The following is a 20,478-nucleotide window of genomic DNA, read 5'->3' as shown; positions in this document are numbered from 1 at the left end:
CTACAGATAAATTATTAGAATTAATAAGTAAATTTAGCAAGATCACTGGTTACAAGGTAAGTTTATAAAAGCCAATTGTATTTCTTTATACTTGCAATAAAGCTTTCTCAAATAGGATATAAAATCACTAAGAATAAAGGCTGGGTGCGGTGGCTCACACCTGTATTCCCAGCACTTTGGGAGGTTGAGGCAGGCGGATCACTTGAGGTCAGGAGTTCCAGACCAGCCTAGCAAACATGGTGAAATCTCGTCTCTACTAAAAATACAAAAATTAGCTGGGCATGGTAGCAGATGCCTGTAGTTCCAGCTACTTAGGAGGCTGAGGCAGGAGAATCACTTGAATCTGGGAGGCAGAGATTGCAGTAAACCGATATCGTGCCATTGCACACCAGCCTGGGTGACACAGCGAGACTCCATCTCAAAAAAAAAAAAAAAGAAGAAGAAAAGGAAGGAAGGATGAAAGAAAGAGAATAACAGAAGAAGATTGACAAATTTGACTTAATACCTTCTGGACGTCAAAGGAAATCATTGAGAGAGTGAAAAGGCAACTTCCAGACCAAGAGAAGATTATTTACAGTACATATTTTACAAAAGACTGTATCCAGAGTATTTTTAAGCAAAAAACCTACAAAGCAAATAAACAATAAAAGACAAAACAAACCAAGTTTTTAAATGAGCAAAAGCCTTGAATAAGCACATCACAAAAGAGGATATCCAGATAGCCAATGTAGGAAAAGTTGCTAAGCACCATTAATATCAGGGAAATGCAAATTAAGCCACAAAGAAATACCACCACCTCCCATCAGGAAGGCTAAAATTTAAAAGTCGAACATACCAAGTGGTGACAAGGACATGGAGCAACCAGAACCCTCACGCACTGCTGGTGGGATGTGCACTGGTGCAGACACTTCAGAAAATTATTTAGCAGTTTCTACTAAAGCAAAAAAAGTATGCCAACCCTATGACATATGTTGTCCGAGTCCACTTAGCATATGCCCGAGAGAAATGAGCTCATTATCCACAAAAGATCGCAGTCATGGCAGCTTAATCATCATCTGTGAAACACGGGAGCAGCCCTAGTCCCCAGAGCAGCAGTGGATGCAGTGATCACGGTTCACAAACTCAGCTGTGAGAGACTGAACCTCGTCACACTCAGCAGCGTGGACAGAGACTGCATGGAAGAAGCCAGATCCAAAAGTGGCAAAGTGTCCCTATTCTATCATTCCATTTGCATCAAGTTCAAAATCGGGCAAATAATCTCTGGCCATAGAAGTCAGAGAAGTGTGGGATGGGGATACACAGAGATGGACACGGGAGAAACTTTGGGGTGCTGGAATGTCCTTTATTTACATTTTACTTTAGAGACAGGGTCTCACTCTGTTACCCAGGCTGGAGTGCAGTGACACAACCACAGCTCACTGCAGACTCAACCTCCTCGGCTCGAGCGATCCTCCTGCCTCAGCCTCCCAAGGTGATGGGATTACAGGCGTGAGCCACCGCACCTGGCCTGGAACGTTCTATGTTGAGATTTGGGCAGTGGGTTTACCGGTGCATTTGCACCCATGATTGGCATACCTTACCGTGTGTCACTTATACCTCAGTAAATAGTTTATCTTAAAAAGTAGGCCTTGGCCGGGCACGGTGGCTCACGCCTGTAATCCCAGCACTTTGGGAGGCCGAGGCAGGCAGATCATGAGGTCAGGAGATCGAGACTAACCTGGCTAACACAGTGAAACCATCCTGGCTAACACAGTGAAACCCCATCTCTACTAAAAATACAAAAAATTACCCAGGCGTGGTGGCGGGCGCCTGTAGTCCCAGCTACTCTGGAGGCTGAGGCAGGAGAATGGCATGAACCCAGGAGGCGGAGCTTGCAGTGAGCCGAGATGGCACCACTGCACTCCAGCCTGGGCGACAGAGCAAGATTCTGCCTCAAAAAAAAAAAGTAGGCCTTGCCAGGTGCAGTGGGAGGATCGCTTAAGGCCAGGAGTTTGAAACCAGCCTGAGCAACGTGACAAAACCCCGTCTCTACAAAAAATACAAAAATTAGCCAGCCGTGGTGGGGCATGCCTATAGTCCTGCTACTCAGGGCTGAGGTGGGAGGGTCACTTGAGGCCAGGAGGTTGAGGCTGCAGTGAGCCTTGATCACACCACTGCAGTCCAGCCTGGGGGACAGAGTGAGATCCTGTGTCAAATATATACATTTAATTTTAAAAAAGTTTTAAGTAGGAGTTACAGTTTAAAGTGGCAGTTAAACACAAGCATCTATTGCCTCTTTGCTTTAAAATGAAGACAAAAATTTCAAGAGAATAAGAGGGGAGACGGGAGCTGGAACCCGGAAGACAGATGTCCAGGCAGCGACTGTCCTCGGAGGCCTGAGAGTGCTGAACCTGCAAATGCAAGGAGCCAGTTGGCTTCGGAGCCCCCGGGAGGCACAGGAAGTGGAGGCCCAGATTCCTCCAAGAAGCTGGGCTGGAAACAGGGTCTCCAGGGGGTCTTTGTGAGCGGCACGGTGTTCTGGCCACAGCTGAGGACAGGGCTGGGGCTCCGTGCTGAAACCAGGAGGACACAGGTGAGACCCTTGCTGGAGGTGCACAGACGCTTCTCAGCCCACAGCACCTCTGGCCTTCCAGGGCTACCAGGCCACGCCGTGCACACAGGGAGGTGGTTCCTCTGCAGGGCAGTGTTGGGCAGGAGCAGTTAGGGCTGTGGGGCCTCTCGCCAGCCACACGCATGCTAACACTAACACACTGGGATGGTTAACACTGAGTGTGAACTGGATTGGATGGACAGATGCAAAGTATTGATCCTGGGTGTGTCTGTGAGGGTGTTGCCAAAGGAGATTCACCTCCGACTGAGTGGACTGGGAGAGGCAGACGCACCCTTAATCTCAGTGGGCACCGTCTCATCAGCTGCCAGCAAGGCTGGAATATAAAGCAGGCAGAAAAACATGAGAAGGCTAGATGGGCCTACCCTCCCAGCCTACATCTTTCTCCCATGCTGGACGTCTCCTGCCCTCGAACATCAGACTCTAAGTTCTTCAGCTTTGAGACTCGGGCTGGCTCTCTGTGCTCCTCAGCTTGCACATGGCCTATTGTGGGACCCTGTGATCGTGTGAGTTAATACTTAATAAACTCACCTTTATATATATATACACATATATATATATCCTGTATATAATATATATATGTATATATATCCTATGAGTTCTGTCCCTCTAGAGAACCCTAATACAGACACTAAGCTGGAGCTTGGAGGAAGCAAAAGAAACCTTAAAAGCACAAATGCTGTAACTAAGATACTGCGTCTGTGAAGTGGAGATGGGGGCCCCACAGAAAGAGCTTTCAGACTGTAGGACAGAACTTGGTGGATGAAGGACAGGATGGGAAATGAAAGCTCAGTGGGAGGTTTGGAAATAATTTGAAGTTGTCTTCCAAAAAGCAGTACAAAATACATAAAGAGAAGGAAAATCAAAGAGAAAAGATGTTTAAAATTGGAGATTCTGTCAAGAAGGTCCAACATACAAATAACTGGGATTCCAGGAAGAAGGGAGAGCAGGGAAGGAAACTCCTAAGTAATTCATCGCTGACAGGTTTCCAGATGTGAGGCCACGGGAGCCCCCACAGGAGCCGGACTTAACAGGTTTGTGGAGTGGCCAAAGGTGGGTGGAGAGAGACCCCCTGTGGGGCACGTTGTCATGAAGTTTCTCAACACTAGTGAAAATGGAAGAGCCTCAAAACCTCCAGAAGAGCAGGCCACATCAGAGGGGCAGGAATAGGAATGGGTTCTGGGGTCTCAACAGCAGTTCTGGGAGCCAAGCCTGCCTGTGCTAAGGGAACGTTATCTCAACCCAGAAGTCTTGGCTCCACTGAACTCTCAAGCTGGTGTGCAGCGGGCACAGACCCTGGAGGTGCACATCTCCAAAAATACCCCGTGGACCTTATCTTGGGAAACACCCAGCGGCTGTGCTTCACCACTACCTGGAGGTCGGAGGGTGTGGACCAGGGCATGGGGGTGTCAGTCCCAGGACCTTGCAGGGCAGGAGCTAGAGAGTGGCTGGAGGGGCAGGAGGAGCCAAGTATCAAGGGACCAGGATGGGTAACTGAGAAACAACAGAGCCAGATAAGCATTAACCCTGAAAGCAGCAGCAGAAGGCTGGGCCGTTGAGGCCGTTGCACAGCCAGAATATCACCAGTGAGGAAGGTGCTGATTTAGCTAAAACTCTAATACTGTTATTTCGGGAGTCCACCTTCCGTGGGGAGAAGTCAATACCAAATACCCAGAAGTCAACAATCAAGAGATCACAATCCAAGGATGTTATCTGGAAATGTGGAGGCAAATACACAACCATTTCAATGTCGACCTCCAAGTGCTAAGGATGGGGTGGGCGGGGGGCGGTGACGCCTGCATTTTCTTATAAACCTCACTTGAGGTTTAAACTATGCATGCATATGACTATGATGAAAATGAAAATCTTAAAATGTATTAACTTAAAACAGCAACAGAGGCTGTGCCTCTCTCTCCCCACAGACGGTACCCTGAGGTGACCTCCTTGAGCCTGGAGAAGCTGAGTCCGAAGGCGCTGAGCAGGCAGGTCTTGCGTCTGCAGGAGCGGTACGGCGTAGCCCCAGGTGAGTCCAGCCCCCACATTCCTGCCCCACAGGCCAGGGAGAGCCGCCAAGCGTGGCCAGGGACATCCTCTGTGACTGGGGCTGCCCGTTGTTCAGGTGCCAACCAAGACCAACCTTCCCAGAGAGCCCCTCCCTGCCTCTTGCCCAGCTCGTGCCAGAGTGGCTGTGAGGTGGGCCTGGCCTGGGCCCTGCGACTGAGCAGCCAACGGGTCTATGAGCTCCTCTGCCCACCTAGGCGGCTCCGGGAGGGCTTCCTGCCTCCTGCCTGGCTGCAGAGCTGAGGGTGAGTGCTGAGTCCAAGTCCGCAGGACTCCAGCCACTCCTCCCAGGCCCCTCTGGACAGGCTGATGGCCACACCTGCCTGTGTCGTTGGACACCAAGGGAAGCCAGGTCCCCTTTGCTCCCAGGACCCCCTGCAAGGGCCGGGAAGATGCACTGAGGCCCCTTCCATGGGGCCCTTGAATCTCAGGAGGGTACAGGCTGGCACCTGGCCGGAAGTTTGAATTTTATCTGGATTTTGCAGTGTTTCTAGGTCCTCCTTCCTCCTTCCTCCTTCCTCCTTCCTCCTTCCTCCCTTTCTCCTTCCTCCATCCTCCCTTTCTCCTTCCTCCTTCCTCCTTCCTCCTTCCTCCTTCCTCCATCCTCCCTTCCTCCTTCCTCCTTTCTCCTTCCGCCCTTTCTCCTTCCTCCTTCCTCCATCCTCCCTTCCTCCTTCCTCCTTCCTCCTTCCTCCTTCCTCCATCCTCCTTCCTCCTTCCTCCTTCCTCCTTCCTCCATCCTCCTTCCTCCTTCCTCCTTCCTCCTTTCTCCTTCCTCCATCCTCCCTTCCTCCATCCTCCTTCCTCCTTCCTCCCTGCCTCAGGGCAGATGGTCGCCCGGCTCCCCGTGGCTGCGCTCTGGGCGTGGGGGGTGGGGCCCTGAAAGGTCGGCACCCCGCTGAGGACCAGCCAGCCCGTTAGCACCACTGGCTGCCGCACCCTGGGGGAAAAGGGCTCAGCCAGACTGTGGTGCCCTCCCCGGGGCCCCCTCAGGCTCTGGAGTGGAGTATGGAGGTGAGGCTGACGGAGGGTGTGGACGTGCGTGTGCCTCAGTCCCTGCCGCTCATGGGGCTTCAGTCACGGGACCCACAGTGAGCAGCCGGCTCTGTCCACGAGGGTTCCACGTGCCAGTGAGAGAAGGGCAGGGCACAAACGCAGATGCCAACGCCAAGAAGGAAACTCCCTGAGGAAAGACAGGGAGGCCCCAGAGGGAGGCCAGACGAAAGGGCCCGCCACACAAGTGCAAGGGAGACCCCGGGGCCGGCGGGACCCCCAGGCTGAGTGGGGTGGACCCCAGCAGAGGCCCAGGTGGTGAGGAGGGGGTGGGCTCCGGGGCAGAGGTGGAGGACGGTGAAGGGGCAGGCGCAGCCCCTCTGCCCGTCTCCAGCCCGCCCCAGAAGGAGGCCGTGGTGAGGCTGCCCTGAGCCCTCAGTGCTGAGCTGGCCTTTCCTTTCAGCGCTGTGTCCCAACGCGGCCATTCAGCAGCGCCTGGCGGCCCTGCGGCACCTGTGCCACAAGCGGTTTGTGGAGGTTCGTGAGCAGGAGGGGGTCCTGGGGGCAGCCAGCCGCGGCCTGAGCCACAGAGTTTGGCCTGGGATACTCACTGCGCACTGCAGGGTGCACAGACATATCAAGTAGGAGCTGCTTCTTGCCCCAGAGCTGGGTGAGCTGGGCCAGGCCTGGGTGAAGGGGAGGCCATGGGGCCCTGGCTCTGGGCTGTGGCACCAGGGCGGGTGAGCACCTGGGCTCTGCCAAGGATGTACCCTGCCAGGGGTCGAGGAAAACTCCCACCAGGCCCCGATACAGCCTCTGGAGCTGCCTGGCAACCGCCCCTTCCTGTTTGCCTTTGCAGAAGAGCCTGTCACAGGAGAACTGGACCGACCATGTGCAGGTGAGTTCGTGCCCTTGCCTGTAAGCCGGCAGGGCGGCCTGGGCGGCTGTCCTAGGGGCACAGGCCCGGAGCCTCCTGGTGGAAGTGCGCAGAGCTGAGGCCTTCGCTGGGGCTGCTGAGCCCAGACCCCATGTTGGGGCGTGTGGCTGGCAGGCGGGTGTAGGGTCCTCAGGCCCGGGAGGCCTGAGCGGGAGCCGAGGGCATCAGTAGAGCCTGACTGGGCCTCGTTCCAGGCAGACGGCAGCGTCCGTGCCACCCGAACCAACCCAGCGGAGCTGCCTGTGGGGCCGGGTGGGGGCTGAGAGTCACCAGAGAGGTGCAAGGCGCCTGGGCGAGGCCGGAAGGAGGAAGGCCAGGCCCCCCCAGCCCGGTGCCAGCGCAGAGCCGGCCGGAAGGGCAGCGGACGTCCTGAAGAATGCGGGCGGCTTCCACGTATTGTCGTCCACGTGGGAACCCACGCCGGGGAAGCAGCCTCAGGCTGCTGGGCCTGAAGCCAGCGGGGCAGGCGGACCCTCCTCGAGGCCGTGGGGTGGGAGGTCGTGCAGGAGCTCAGCCTGCTGGGCAGGTCCCCTCCCTTCCCGCCTGACACTCAAGGCCATCCTGGACCCATGGACTCCAGGACCTTGCGGGGAGGGAGACCCTCGCTTGTGCTGGGCCCTGCATTTCCCAGCGGGGGCTGAGGGTCCCGCAGGCCTGTAGGTGCCTCTGCTCCTGGGCTGGGCGCTGCCACGGTGGCTGCGGGGTGGGAGAGAGCTCACCCTGGTGAGGATGAGGTTTCTCAGGACCCCCTTGGTCATTGCCACCCAGAGGGCACCCCTCTGTCTGCTCCTGGGCCATGGGTGAATGGGTGCCCAATAGCCTCCTGAGCCCTGCCAGCCAAACCCCACATAATGAGGAGGAGGGGAAGGGGCAGAGGGGCTCCCCTGGCAAGAGGAGGAGCGTGGAGATGGGGCAGGCTGGGCAGGTGCTCCAGAAAACATGCCCGGGCTCCTGGGACCCGGGGTGGGGGCAGATGCCTGGTGAGAGCAGGAGGGCCGGCAGAGGCTTGGAGGCCGGGAAGGTCAGTGGAGGCTTGGAGGCCAGGAGGGCCAGTGGAGGCTTGGAGGCTGGAAAGGTCAGTGGAGGCTTGGAGGCCAGGAGGGCTGGTGGAGGCTTGGAGGCCAGGAAGGTCAGCAGAGGCTTGGAGGCCAGGAGGGCCGGTGGAGGCTTGGAGGCCGGGAAGGTCAGCGGAGGCTTGGAGGCCAGGAGGGGCCAGCTGGGGCTGAACTGAGGTGGGCAGCCTTCACCTCAGGCTTGGAGACCCGGAAGGCCAGCCGGGGCTACACTGGGGTGGACAGCCTTTGCCTCAGCACCTCTATCTCAGCCGCTTTGGTCCTGTGGAACCTTGACCTCAGGCAGGACAGATGCTGCAGGCCTCAGGTGGACGGCTGCCCCTCCTCCCCGAGTGCTCATAGCCAGTCTGCAAGGTCGGGGTCTACGGGGGTCCCTCGGGGCAGGGCCCTGTGGCACAGCAATGTCCCCATCTCCATCCTCACGGCCACCCTCCTCACAGGGCCTGGTGGGGCAGAGCCCGTGGCTTCAGGAGCAGCTGTCTCAGCTGCTGGTCTCCCACAGTGACCCAGTCACGGCCGCCCAGTGTGCCATGGAACTCTTGCTGCCCGAGGAGCGGCTGCCGGCTGCGGTGGCTGTGGAACTCCGCCGGTTCAGGCTCCAGGGGAGGTGAGCGCCGCCAGGGTGACCCCAGCCAGGGGTGGGTTCCGCCCAGGGTGGCCCCTACCCTTGGGACGACAGCTCACCAGTCTTCACGCCAGTGGCTTGAGAATTAGAAATCAAGACAAAACAAAGAGCGCAGCTATACACAGAGCAGACAAGACAGCAGGGCCCAGCCCTCCTCCTCTGCTGCCAGATCCATGGCCAGCCCGACCCATGAGGGACCCTGGGGGGACAGTCACCAGGGCCACTGGGAGGAGAGGCAGGAGCAAGGGTCACGCTGGGCTGGACTGAGCCGGTGTGGGAGGAGGAGCCAGGACCTGAGATGCCCCCACCAAACAGGCCCTGAATGCTCCCCTCCTGCTCCGAGGTCAGAGTGGGTGGGGGACCAGGGACATGGGGGCGCTACCAGCTCTGCTCCTCCCAGGGCGACTGAGGCTGACTCGAGGCTGGAGGTGAAGGACATGAAGGACCGTTACTACCAGCTGCCCATCCCCAGGGAGAACGTCCACCTCCTGGCCTCGTGGGAAGACCTGACCAGACACGAGGGTGCACTCCTGCAGGTGGTTCCCTCGGCCGCTGGGGCAGCGCCCGGTGGTGGGATCCCCCTGCCAGGCACTGGAGGAGCATCAGGGGCATGGCATTCGGAGAGAGGCAAGGCCTCTGGGCATGAGCCCGCCAGGTGCCCCAGGGCTGCTGTGAGGGCAGCCGTTCCCCACACTGTGCTGCTGAGACTCCAGGATGCTGGCTGCTGGCATTTACCCAGTGCTGCCAGCCTGTGGAAGGTGCCGTGGAATCCCCATTTTACAGATGGTGCCCGAGACGTGGGGTGCCTCCCTGACACGGGCACTGCCGTGGGCACCAGGCCAGGCTCTTGCTCACAACAGCCAGGCCTCCCTCTCTGGTGCAGCCACAGAAAGCAGGGGGCAGCTGGAGCACAGGCCTTAGTGCCCCCAACAGCCCCAGCCCTATAAACATGCAGGGGTGCAGGGGCGTCTCCCCGAAGCCCAAGCTCACAGAGCTGCTCAGGACCTCCAGGCTGTGGTCCCTGCAGAGCCAAGTTGGCCCTGATGATCACATCTGCCCCTCTCTGCCCGCAGTGCCACCAAGTGGTTGGTGTAGACGTGGAGTGGACACCTGTGTTTGTTGCTGGGGGCCGGCCTCGGCCGTCACTCCTGCAGGTGGCCGTGGAGGGCCACGTGTTCCTTCTGGACGTCCTGGCACTCTCGCAGCCACCAACAGGGCAGGGAGCCCAGGCCTTTTCCCGGCTGGTGGCCCAGCTCCTCTCGGACCCCTCTATCACCAAGCTGGGTGAGTGAAGCCCTGGGGCCCCCTGCCCAGTCCAGAAAGAAAGCAGCCCGCACCCCTGCCTGACCCTTCCCTCCGTGTGCCCCGGGGAGGGTGCTGGGTGCACCCTGGGGTCAGGGGACAGTGCGGTCCCTGCCTGCAGGCGCCCCTCCCACGATGGTTCCTGCCCACAGGCTACGGGATGGTGGGGGACCTGCAAAAACTGGGCACGTCCTGCCCCGCCCTGGCCCATGTGGAGAAGCAGATTCTGGGCGGCATGGACCTGCTGCTGGTGCACAGACAGGTGGGCACCCACTGAGCCGCTCACAAGATGCCGGGTGGGCCTGGGGTTCGAGGGCTGCTTGGGGCCCCTCCACACCTTCCCAGCGGCCCTGGGCTTCTCCCGCCGGATTCCTGTCAGCACAGCCTCAGTCACCAGGGCCCCAGAGCAGAGCCTGGCAGAGCTGGATCTGGCATCTCCAGGGAGGGAGCAGGGCCTCCTGGTGCAGGCATCCCTGAGCCCCTGTGGGGCCGTTATCTGGTGTGAGGGCACCTTCCCCCAGACCTGAGCCCTGGGTTCCACTTGGAGGAGCTGCGGGAGGGAGCCCCTGGGGCTCTATCTAGCCCCCTCCCCGTGATCCCCACCCCTCTCTATCTAGCCCCCTCCTTGTGATCCCCACCCCTCTCTATCTAGAACCCTCCCCGTGATCCCCACCCCTCTCTATCTAGAACCCTCCCCGTGATCCCCACCCCTCTCTATCTAGCACCTTCCCCGTGATCCCCACCCCTCTCTATCTAGAACCTTCCCCGTGATCCCCACCCCTCTCTATCTAGAACCTTCCCCGTGATCCCCACCCCTCTCTATCTAGCCCCCTCCCCGTGATCCCCACCCCTCTCTATCTAGAACCTTCCCCGTGATCCCCACCCCTCTCTATCTAACCCCTCCCCGTGATCCCCACCCCTCTCTATCTAGCACCTTCCCCGTGATCCCCATCCCTCTCTATCTAGAACCTTCCCCGTGATCCCCACCCCTCTCTATCTAGCTCTCTCCCCGTAATCCCCACCCCTCTCTATCTAGCACCTTCCCCGTGATCCCCATCCCTCTCTATCTAGAACCTTCCCCGTGATCCCCACCCCTCTCTATCTAGAACCTTCCCCGTGATCCCCATCCCTCTCTATCTAGAACCTTCCCCGTGATCCCCACCCCTCTCTATCTAGAACCCTCCCCGTGATCCCCACCCCTCTCTATCTAGCCCCTCCTCGTGATCCCCACCCCTCTCTATCTAGAACCTTCCCCGTGATCCCCACCCCTCTCTATCTAGCACCTTCCCCGTGATCCCCACCCCTCTCTGGGCACACACGCCACCCCAGACACACACGTGGAGCGCCCCTAGCATGAGCACTAGAGCCCCCCGGGGGTGGTTTCGCTGCATTTTGTCTGCGTTTCTGCTGTTTTATGCACGGCACACCCAGTGCTCCTCTTCTGAAGATAAAACAGAGACAGAGAGCTGGCCACACAGACTCAGGGCCCGGGCTCTCTGAGGCTGTGAGGGGCTGGGCGGGGTTACCGTGGGACTGCTGACCAGGGCCCCCGGAGCTGGCCCTGGTGTGCAGTGCCTGCAGCCTGGGACCCCCACGTGGAGCCTCTCCTCGGATGTGTCCGCTCCTTCTCCCCGTCTCTGCTGTGGGGGCCGCTGGTGGAGGGGGCGGGGCCTCCTCCAGAGCCCCCGCAGGGCTGGTGTGAGTGGGCACGGTGACTGTGCTGCCGCCAGGGCCAGACGCGTTACCCTGCAGGGCACTGTCTTAGCAGATGCGGGTGGCGAGCGTGCCAGCCCCAGCCGTGGACAGGGCCAGGGAGCTGAGGGGCCTGAGCCTCCTGGTGCAGCAGGTGCTGGGCACAGCCCTGGACAAGACGCAGCAGCTGTCCAACTGGGACCGGAGGCCGCTCTGCGAGGAGCAGGTCATCTACGCAGGTGTGCGGTGCGGCGGGTGGGAGTGACCCCTCCTCACGCCCCTCCCGCCCTCTGTCCCGGGAGGCTGAGGCCGACTCCCCACACAGCTGCCGACGCCTACTGCCTGCTGGAGGTGCACCAAGCCCTGTGCAGAGAGCCCGCCCGCTTCCACCTGTCGGAGGACCTGGCTGGGAGCCGGAGGCCCAGGCACAGAGAGAGACCAGGGGCACGGAAGCCACCCGGCCTGCAGAAAGCGTCAGCACCGGCCGCACCCAGGCAGGTGGGTGAAGCCCCGCAGGGTCCGTTTGTCAGCATTCTTGGGGAAGGAGATCCCTGTCCATAAACCAAGGACCTGCATGGAGACAAGGCCACTGGGTCAGAGCGTGTGGAGGGGGCCCAGCTCCTGGAGCGAGAGGGGAGCAAAGTCCTGGTGAACCTCCTGCATGACTGTCACGGGGGCTGCGCTTGCCTGGGGGGTCACTGCTCAGGAGGCAGCCGTGCCCCTGAGTGCCCCAGTCCCCTCCTGATACTTGGCCTGGCAGGCCCCTCCCATGGCCCAAGGCAGCATCTAGCCCCCTCCCCGTGATCCCCACCCCTCTCTATCTAGCCCCCTCCCCCTCCCCTCTCTATCTAACCCCTCCCCGTGATCCCCACCCCTCTCTATCTAGCCCCCTCCTTGTGATCCCCACCCCTCTCTATCTAACCCCTCCCCGTGATCCCCACCCCTCTCTATCTAGCCCCCTCCCCATGATCCCCACCCCTCTCTGTCTAACCCCCTCCTTGTGATCCTCACCCCTCTCTATCTAGCACCTTCCTCGTGATCCCCACCCCTCTCTATCTAACCCCCTCCTTGTGATCCCCACCCCTCTCTATCTAGCCCCCTCCCCGTGATCCCCACCCCTCTCTGGGCACACACGCCACCCCAGACACACACGTGGAGCCCCCCCAGCATGAGCACTAGAGCCCCCCAGGGGTGGTTTCACTGCATTTTGTCTGCGTTTCTGCTGTTTTATGCACAGCACACACAGTTTTATCTTTTGAAGATAAAACAGAGACAGAGTGCTGGCCACACAGCCTCAGGGCCCTGGCTCTCTGAGGCTGTGAGGGGCTGGGGGGTGACCGTGGGACTGCTGACCAGGGCCTCACTGCAGGTCCCTGTGGCTGTGGCTGTGTCTGAGGGCGCTGCCCCTCAGATTCCGGCCAGGGCCTTCCGTGTGGTGTGTGACAACATGCTGCAGGGGCTGGCACGGAGCCTCCGCTGTCTCGGTGTGGATGCACGCATGCTGGGCAATGGTGAAGACCACCGCAGGGCGGCCGAGGTGAGTTTGCGGGGAGGGTCTTGGGGTCCTCCCAAGGTGCAGCTGCCCCTAGCACAGGTGTGCCCACCCCTAGCATCAAACTCCTCCCTCCAGCTCATCCATGGCTGCCAGCTGTGCCAGGCAGGCTCTGGGAACAGGACGGGGTGGCCAAGGATGGAGCGGTTGGGGGCCAAGTGGCTGAGATGGTCCCAGCCTCAGCCCTCATTGTCCCACAAAAGGAATTTACAGATGTAATTGACACTATTAATCAGTTGAACTTAAAATAGAGAGTCTATCTTATTTGGGTGGGCCCAGTGTAATCACATGAGCCCTTAAAAGCAGAAATGGGGCCGGACGCAGTGGCTCATGCCTATAATCCCAGCACCTTGGGAGGCCGAGGTGGGTGGATCACTTGAGGCCAGGAGTTGGAGACCAGCCTGACCAATATGGTGAAACCCCGTCTGTACCAAAAATAGAAAAATTAGCCAGGCGTAGTGGCGGGCGCCTGTAATCCCAACTACTCAGGAGGCTGAGACACGAGAATCGCTTAAACACCGGAGGCAGAGGTTACAGTGAGCTGAGATCACGCCACTGCACTCCAGCCTGGCTGACAGAGCAAGACTCCATCTTAAAAAAAAAAGAAAAAAAGCAGGAATGGAACACAGAAGACAGAGAGATTCAAAGCACAGGAAGGATTCAGTGTCCCATTGTTGGCTTGAAGATGGAGGACGCCGCACAAGGAAACCTCAGTCCAACAGCCACAAGCAGCCAGATTCTGCCAACACCTGACCAAGCCCAGAAGCAGGTTCTTCCCCGGAGTCTCCTAAGAGGAGCCTGCCGTCGCGAACACTGTGATTTCAGCCATGAGACCCTGAGCAGAGAACCTGGTTGAGTCCACCGGACTTCTGGACTTCCACAGAACTATGTTGTAAGCTGCTAAGCTTTTAGTAAATTGTGACAGCAGCATTAGAAAAATGACATGGAGGCTGGGTGCTCACGCCTGTAATCCCTGCACTCTGGGAGGCCGAGGCGGGTGGATCACAAGGTCAGGGGTTCAAGACCAGCCTGGCCAAGATGGTGAAACCCTGTCTCTCCTAAAAATACAAAAATTAGCTGGGCGTGGTGGCGGGCGCCTGTAATCCCAGCTACTCGGGAGGCTGAGGCAGAGAATTGCTTGAACCCGGGAGGCAGAGGTGGCAGCAGTGAGTGGAGATCGCACCACTGCACTCCAGCCTGGGTGACAGAGCAAGACTCCGTCTCAAAACAATAGAAAAAAAGAATGTGGATTGTGGTACCAGGAGTGGGGTGCTGGTGTAACACACAGCTAAACATGCGGAAGTAGTTTTAGAATCAGGGGATGAGTGGAGGGTGGGAGAGTCCTGAGGATCACAACATGAAAAGCCTAGAGGGCCTTGAAACCGACCGTCTGTGGAAATACGGACATTAAAAGTGTCGAAGGTTCAGAAATAGAGGTGGGATGCTGGTAAATGCAGCTGAAACTGACCATCTGTGGAAATACGGACATTAAAAGTGTCGAAGGTTCGGAAATAGAAGTGGGATGCTGGTCAATGCAGCTGAAACAGATGGAGCCGAGATGGTTCGACCTAAACGGCAAGAGTGTGAGGGTGTCAGATCAAAGCCAAATGGACCAGTTTTCTCCTTCAGGGGTGTAAGAAGTGGGGTTAGTTGGTATTTATTCTTCATGGAGAGGGCGGAATCCATCCTGAACCCTCGATTTGTTTAAATACTAGTTATGGGTAATCTTACCCATATAGTTTTTTAATAACATTTATTCCCTCTTTTTTTCCTTCAGTAAGGAGTGAATTTTTTTTTTTTTTTTTTTTTTTTTTTTTGAGACGGAGTCTTGCTCTGTCTCCCAGCCCGGAGTGCAGTGGTGCGATCTCGGCTCACTGCAAGCTCCGCCTCCCAGGTTCATGCCATTCTCCTGCCTCAGCCTCCCGAGTAGCTGGAACTACAGGCTCCTGCCACCATTCCTGGCTAATTTTTTGTATTTTTAGTACAGACGGCTAAAAATTTCACCATGTTAGCCAGGATGGTCTCGATCAAGGAGTGAAGTATTTTTCTAATTACTTTTCCCTGGTTTTTATCTCCTAGGTCTTCTGTTCCAAGCTCTTAGTGAATTCTGTATTTTTAGGACTTGCTCTACAAATAGTACAGCTTTATTTTCACCCTCATTTGTTTTCTGCAGCTTCAAGGATTGTCTGTTTATGTCGGTCTAGGATGTTCTAGACAGGTGTTCACATTTGTGACCACCTTACTCACAGGTGCAGTGATCTCACAGAGGCAGACATAGATTCATGCATTTTCTGGAGAGAACATTTTTGAAGAAGGGAAGCTTTGGTATCCTTTTGGCTTCTATGGAGCTTTTGCTATCTTTTTCTTTTCTTTTCTTTCCTTTTTTTTTTTTTTGAGACAAAGCCTCACTCTGTTGCCCAGGCTGGAGTGCAGTGGTGCTACCTGGGCCCACTGCAACCTCCGCCTCCCGGGTTCAAGCGATTCTCCTGTCTAAGCCTCCTGAGTACCTGGGATCACAGGTGCTCGCCACTACACCCAACTAATTTTTGTATTTTTAGTACAGACAGGGTTTCTCCATGTTGGTCAGGCTGGTCTCGAATTCCTGACCTCAGGTGATCTGCCCACCTCGGCCTCCCGAAGTGCTGAGATTACAGGCGTGAGCCACCACACCCGGCAGGATCTTTCCAAATCATGTGTTTTCTACTAAGACTCCTGGAGAAATGAGTTAATTGTTTCATATAAGGATTATACCTTGAGTTTCATTTTCCATACCTTTCAAAAGGAGCATTACTAATAAATTTACAAACATTTTTTAAAAAGGAAAAGGAAAGAAAGCATTCCGGGCGAGAGCCCAGAGGATGTGAGGAGAATGTCCTGACAAAGTGGAGGGAGGCAAAGTGCCTGTCACATCCAGGTAGTGGCGGGAAACGCCATGGGGCTGTGTCCTGCTGTCAGAGAGAAGCTGACTTTGTCAGGTGAACCTGGGTGTTCTGCTGAGGGGATCTCCAGACAGTGGAAGGTGCAGCCTGGCCTGTTTCTGCTGCTTATGGTGAAATGTGAGCAGAAGACCTGGACATTCAGCTGAGGAGATCTCCAGACAGTGGAAGGTACAGCCTGGCCTGTTTCTGCTGCTTATGGTGAAATGTGAGCTGAAGACCTGGATATTCAGCTGAGGAGATCTCCAGACAGTGGAAGGTGCAGCCTGGCCTGTTTCTGCTGCTTATGGTGAAATGTGAGCAGAAGACCTGGACATTCAGCTGAGGAGATCTCCAGACAGTGGAAGGTGCAGCCTGGCCTGTTCCTGCTGCTTATGATAGAATGTGAGCAGGAGGGACTGAGGGGAGCGCTCTTAAACAGAAAGGAACTAGGACTTGATGATTTGGGAAACTCTCATCCTGTCCAGATGGCAAAAGATGCTAAGAATAAGTGATCATTCCCAAAAGTGTAACCTGAAAAGCTGAGTGTGTATCTGTGCAGGAGTGAGGTCAGAAACAGTCTTCGAAAGCAAACCCGAGGCTTCCAGAAAGCGCAGGGGTATCAGCCCTTGGCCGCCTCCGCAGATGCTGAAGTGGACAGGAAACGTGCCAGCGAAGTTCCACGCCACTCACAATCTTCCCAGACATGTCTCGTCAGCCACTGCAAGCATGGAAGCCAGTTCTTGATAGTAAATCTCTTAATATTTATCTCCCACTGGTTTGCTTCTCTAGATCGGCCCAACTGACCAATTTTGGTGCCGGAAGTTGTTGCAGAGGAAAGTCTTACAGATGAGTTGTCTGCACTGGTTCTGGGACTTCTGGAATTGGTTCTCTACATTATTAGATTTAGAGACACTAAGGGCCTAGTTTCCAGTAGTAAAGAGGATACAGGCCGGGCGCAGTGGCTCACACCTGTAATCCCAGCACTTTCAGAGGCCGAGGTGGGCGGATCACCAGGTCAGAAGATCGAGACCATCCTGGCTAACACGGTGAAACCCCGTCTCTACTAAAAATATAAAAAATTAGCCAGGTGTGGTGGCGGGCACCTGTAGTCCCAGCTACTTGGGAGACTGAGGCAGGAGAATGGCGTGAACCCAGGGGGTGGAGATTGCAGTGAGCCGAGATCGTGCCACTGCACTCCAGCCTGGGAGACAAAGTGAGACTCTGTCTCAAAAAAAAAAAAAAAAAAAAAAGGCCGGGCGCGGTGGCTCATACCTGTAATCCCAGCACTTTGGGAGGCCGAGGCAGGCGGATCACGAGGTTAGGAGATCAAGACCACCCTGGCTAACACGGGGAAACCCCATCTCTACTAAAAATACAAAAAAGTAGCCGGGCATGGTGGCGGGCGTCTGTATTCCCAGCTACTCGGGAGGCTGAGGCAGGAGAATGGCATGAACCCGGGAGGCAGAGCTTGCAGTGAGCCGAGATCACGCCACTGCACTCCAGCCTGGGTAACAGAGCGAGACTCCGTCTCAAAAAAAAAAAAAAAAAAAAAAAAAAAAAAAGATACAGTAGTCCATGGTGAGATGTTGCAAAATTATTCAAAATATTGCCATGGGATACCCTTAATTGGGAACCTATAGAAGCACAGATTCTGACATAACAAGTATTTGCTACTTCCAAGCACTGCAGTCAAACTAATGGATATAATGGGATGGGCTGGTTGCTCCTAACTGTGCTGGAGAAGGTGGGAAAGAAAAAGATGAGCTCAGCTCCACACGAAGGACCTGCAAGCTTCTATCTTGGCCCAGAAGAAGCCCTTATTCCCTGTAGCTGCAGAAGTAAAATTGCTGAACACCATGCCTAGAGTTTAATCCTGTGAGCAGCTGAATTACAACAGAAATTAAATTCACAACTGATGTTATTAAACTTTGTCCACTTGGCCAGTCCTATCCATGTAAAATTACATTTCATTGTCTTTGAACTTGCTTTTCTCTGATTCTTTTTTTGTTTGTTTGTTTGAAACAGAGTCTTACTCTGTCGCCCAGGCGGGAGTGCAGTGGTGCGATCTCAGCTCACTGCAACCTCCGCCTCCCGGGTTCAAGCGATTCTCCTGCCTCAGGCTCCCCAGTAGCTGGGATTACAGGCACCCACCACCACGCCCGGCTAATTTTTATATTTTTAGTAGAGACGGGGTTTCACCATGTTGGCCGGGATGGTCTCGATCTCCCGACCTTGTAATCCACCTGCCTCGGCCTCCCAAAGTGCTGGGATTACAGGCATGAGCCACCGTGCCTGGCCGTTTCTGTGATTCTTGATGAAGTTGAGCATCTTTCCATATGTTCCCTAGCTATTTGCACTTTATGTTCTGTGGAACATCTCGTGGCTGCCACTGCTGCCCTAAGAAAGGCCTGGCTGCAAGGCTGGGAACTCGGCTGGGAAACAGTTCCCTGACTGATATAAACCTTCCCTAATGACGAAGGTGGTTTGCGGTTCCTAATCTTTACAAACAATGTGGTGTATGCTGGACATCACTTTCCTCCTAGGGCTCTGGAATTTTGGTATATGCCAGGCAGCGGGTATCAATGTGACCACCCCCCAGTAAAAACCTCAGGCAATGAGTCCCTAATGAACTTCTCAGATAGACAACACTTCACAAATGTCATTACAACTTATGCAGAAGTTAAGCACATCCTACAGGACTCCCCTGGGAGACGGCTCCTGGTGCCTGAGCCCTGTTTCCTCTGACTCCTGGGAGACGGCTCCTGGTGCCTGAGCCCTGTTTCCTCTGACTCCCCTGGGAGACGGCTCCTGGTGCCTGAGCCCTGTTTCCTCTGACTCCCCTGGGAGACGGCTCCTGGTGCCTGAGCCCCGTTTCCTCTGACTCCTGGGAGACGGCTCCTGGTGCCTGAGCCCCGTTTCCTCTGACTCCTGGGAGACGGCTCCTGGTGCCTGAGCCCCGTTTCCTCTGACTCCTGGGAGACGGCTCCTGATGCCTGAGCCCCGTTTCCTCTGACTCCTGGGAGACGGCTCCTGGTGCCTGAGCCCCGTTTCCTCTGACTCCCCTGGGAGACGGCTCCTGGTGCCTGAGCCCCGTTTCCTCTGACTCCTGGGAGACGGCTCCTGGTGCCTGAGCCCCGTTTCCTCTGACTCCTGGGAGACGGCTCCTGGTGCCTGAGCCCCGTTTCCTCTGACTCCTGGGAGACGGCTCCTGGTGCCTGAGCCCTGTTTCCTCTGACTCCCCTGGGAGACGGCTCCTGGTGCCTGAGCCCTGTTTCCTCTGACTCCCCTGGGAGACGGCTCCTGGGAGACGGCTCCTGGTGCCTGAGCCCTGTTTCCTCTGACTCCCCTGGGAGACGGCTCCTGGTGCCTGAGCCCCGTTTCCTCTGACTCCTGGGAGACGGCTCCTGGTGCCTGAGCCCCGTTTCCTCTGACTCCTGGGAGACGGCTCCTGGTGCCTGAGCCCCGTTTCCTCTGACTCCCCTGGGAGACGGCTCCTGGTGCCTGAGCCCCGTTTCCTCTGACTCCTGGGAGACGGCTCCTGGTGCCTGAGCCCCGTTTCCTCTGACTCCTGGGAGATGGCTCCTGGTGCCTGAGCCCCGTTTCCTCTGACTCCTGGGAGACGGCTCCTGGTGCCTGAGCCCCGTTTCCTGGGTGCCTGAGGCCCCATGTGCCTTTTCCCTTTGCTGACATTGCTGTGTATTATTCACTGTAATGAGTCTTAGCCAGAGTGTGACTGTGTGCTGAGTCCTGTAACACTGAATCACCTCAGGATGATCTTGGGGACCCTTAACACATGCCTGGTCCAGTCTTTTGCTTTCTTTTTTTGAGACAGGGTCTCATTCTGTCTGGCTAGAGTGTAGTGGTGTGATCACAGCTGACTGCAGCCTCAACATCGTAGGCTCAAGTGAGCCTCCCAACTCAGCCTCCTGAGTAGCCAGGAACACAGGCACAGGCCACCACACCCAGCTAATGTTTAAAATGTTTCATGGAGACAGGATCTCGCTATGTTGTCCAGGCTGGTCTTGAACTCCTGGCCTCGAGCGACCCTCCTGCTTCAGCCTCCCAAAGTGCTGGGATTACAGGTGTGAGCCACCCTGCCCAGCTTGGCCTTGAGTTTTACGTGATGCCACGATGTCTTAATCCCTCTAACGTTATCACCCATCTTCATATCTGGTAGGGTGAGCATCTACCTTGTTCTTCTCCTTCAGTCCTTTGTCCTTTCTATATAGGTTTAGAAACAACTCACCAATTCAGTGTTGCTTGGAACTGCATTGACTCTATAAATCAATTTAGGGAAAAATGACATATTTAAGACATTGAGGCCAGGTGCAGTGGCCTCACCTATAATCTCAGCCCTTTGGGAGGCCAGGGCGGGAGAATTGCTTGAGCCCAGGAGTTTGAGACCAGCCTGGTAACATAGCGAGACATTATTTCTTAAAAAAAATAGCCAGGCATGGTGGTGCACACCTGTGGTCCTGGCCACCTGGGGGACCGAGGTGGGATGATCACTTGAACCCATGAGGTCGAGGCTACACAGTGAGCCATGATCATGCCACTGCACTCCAGCCTGGGCAACACAGCAAGACCTCATTAAAAAAAAGAAAAAAAGATATTGAGTCTTCTATTCATGAATATTTAACTCTTTCTTTTTTTTTTCTTTTGAGATGGAGTCTCACTGTGTTGCCCAGGCTGGAGTGCAGTGATGTGATCTCGGCTC

At 56.1% G+C, this 20,478-nt stretch overlaps 1 protein-coding gene across 7 annotated transcripts in view, besides 2 other annotated features; it reads left to right on the top strand.

The window, feature by feature from the left end:
* EXD3 (exonuclease 3'-5' domain containing 3) overlaps window positions 1-20,478 on the top strand; it is a 116,267-nt gene that overhangs the window by 62,264 nt on the left and 33,525 nt on the right. For 3 of the 7 annotated variants that reach the window (XM_011518810.2, XM_047423542.1, XM_024447588.2), the window contains 12 exons: window positions 2,293-2,572; window positions 3,593-3,642; window positions 4,531-4,631; window positions 6,126-6,303; window positions 6,522-6,560; window positions 8,175-8,279; window positions 8,698-8,833; window positions 9,371-9,581; window positions 9,752-9,861; window positions 11,365-11,530; window positions 11,617-11,789; window positions 12,661-12,828. In XM_011518810.2, coding sequence (XP_011517112.1) covers window positions 2,293-2,572; window positions 3,593-3,642; window positions 4,531-4,631; window positions 6,126-6,303; window positions 6,522-6,560; window positions 8,175-8,279; window positions 8,698-8,833; window positions 9,371-9,581; window positions 9,752-9,861; window positions 11,365-11,530; window positions 11,617-11,789; window positions 12,661-12,828 — 1,717 coding nt within the window. Of the gene's footprint in view, window positions 1-2,292; window positions 2,573-3,592; window positions 3,643-4,530; window positions 4,632-6,125; window positions 6,304-6,521; window positions 6,561-8,112; window positions 8,280-8,697; window positions 8,834-9,370; window positions 9,582-9,751; window positions 9,862-11,364; window positions 11,531-11,616; window positions 11,790-12,660; window positions 12,829-20,478 lie in introns of those variants that run through there. The other 4 variants (XM_047423544.1, XM_047423543.1, NM_017820.5 and 1 more) reach the window with 3 other exon arrangements.
* Window positions 8,907-9,415: an enhancer, noted in NCBI's record as "H3K27ac-H3K4me1 hESC enhancer chr9:140245936-140246444 (GRCh37/hg19 assembly coordinates)". NCBI's record gives its function as "activates a minimal SCP1, AML or CMV promoter by ChIP-STARR-seq in naive and primed H9 embryonic stem cells {active_cell/tissue: H9 hESC(naive and primed)}" and the evidence as "EXISTENCE:reporter gene assay evidence [ECO:0000049][PMID:30033119]".
* Window positions 9,416-9,925: an enhancer, noted in NCBI's record as "H3K27ac-H3K4me1 hESC enhancer chr9:140245426-140245935 (GRCh37/hg19 assembly coordinates)". NCBI's record gives its function as "activates a minimal SCP1, AML or CMV promoter by ChIP-STARR-seq in primed H9 embryonic stem cells {active_cell/tissue: H9 hESC(primed)}" and the evidence as "EXISTENCE:reporter gene assay evidence [ECO:0000049][PMID:30033119]".

Source organism: Homo sapiens, chromosome 9 (genome assembly GCF_000001405.40).
Source record: "Homo sapiens chromosome 9, GRCh38.p14 Primary Assembly".
Taxonomy (NCBI): Eukaryota; Metazoa; Chordata; class Mammalia; order Primates; family Hominidae; genus Homo; species Homo sapiens.
This window is presented reverse-complemented; position numbering and strand designations above follow the sequence as displayed.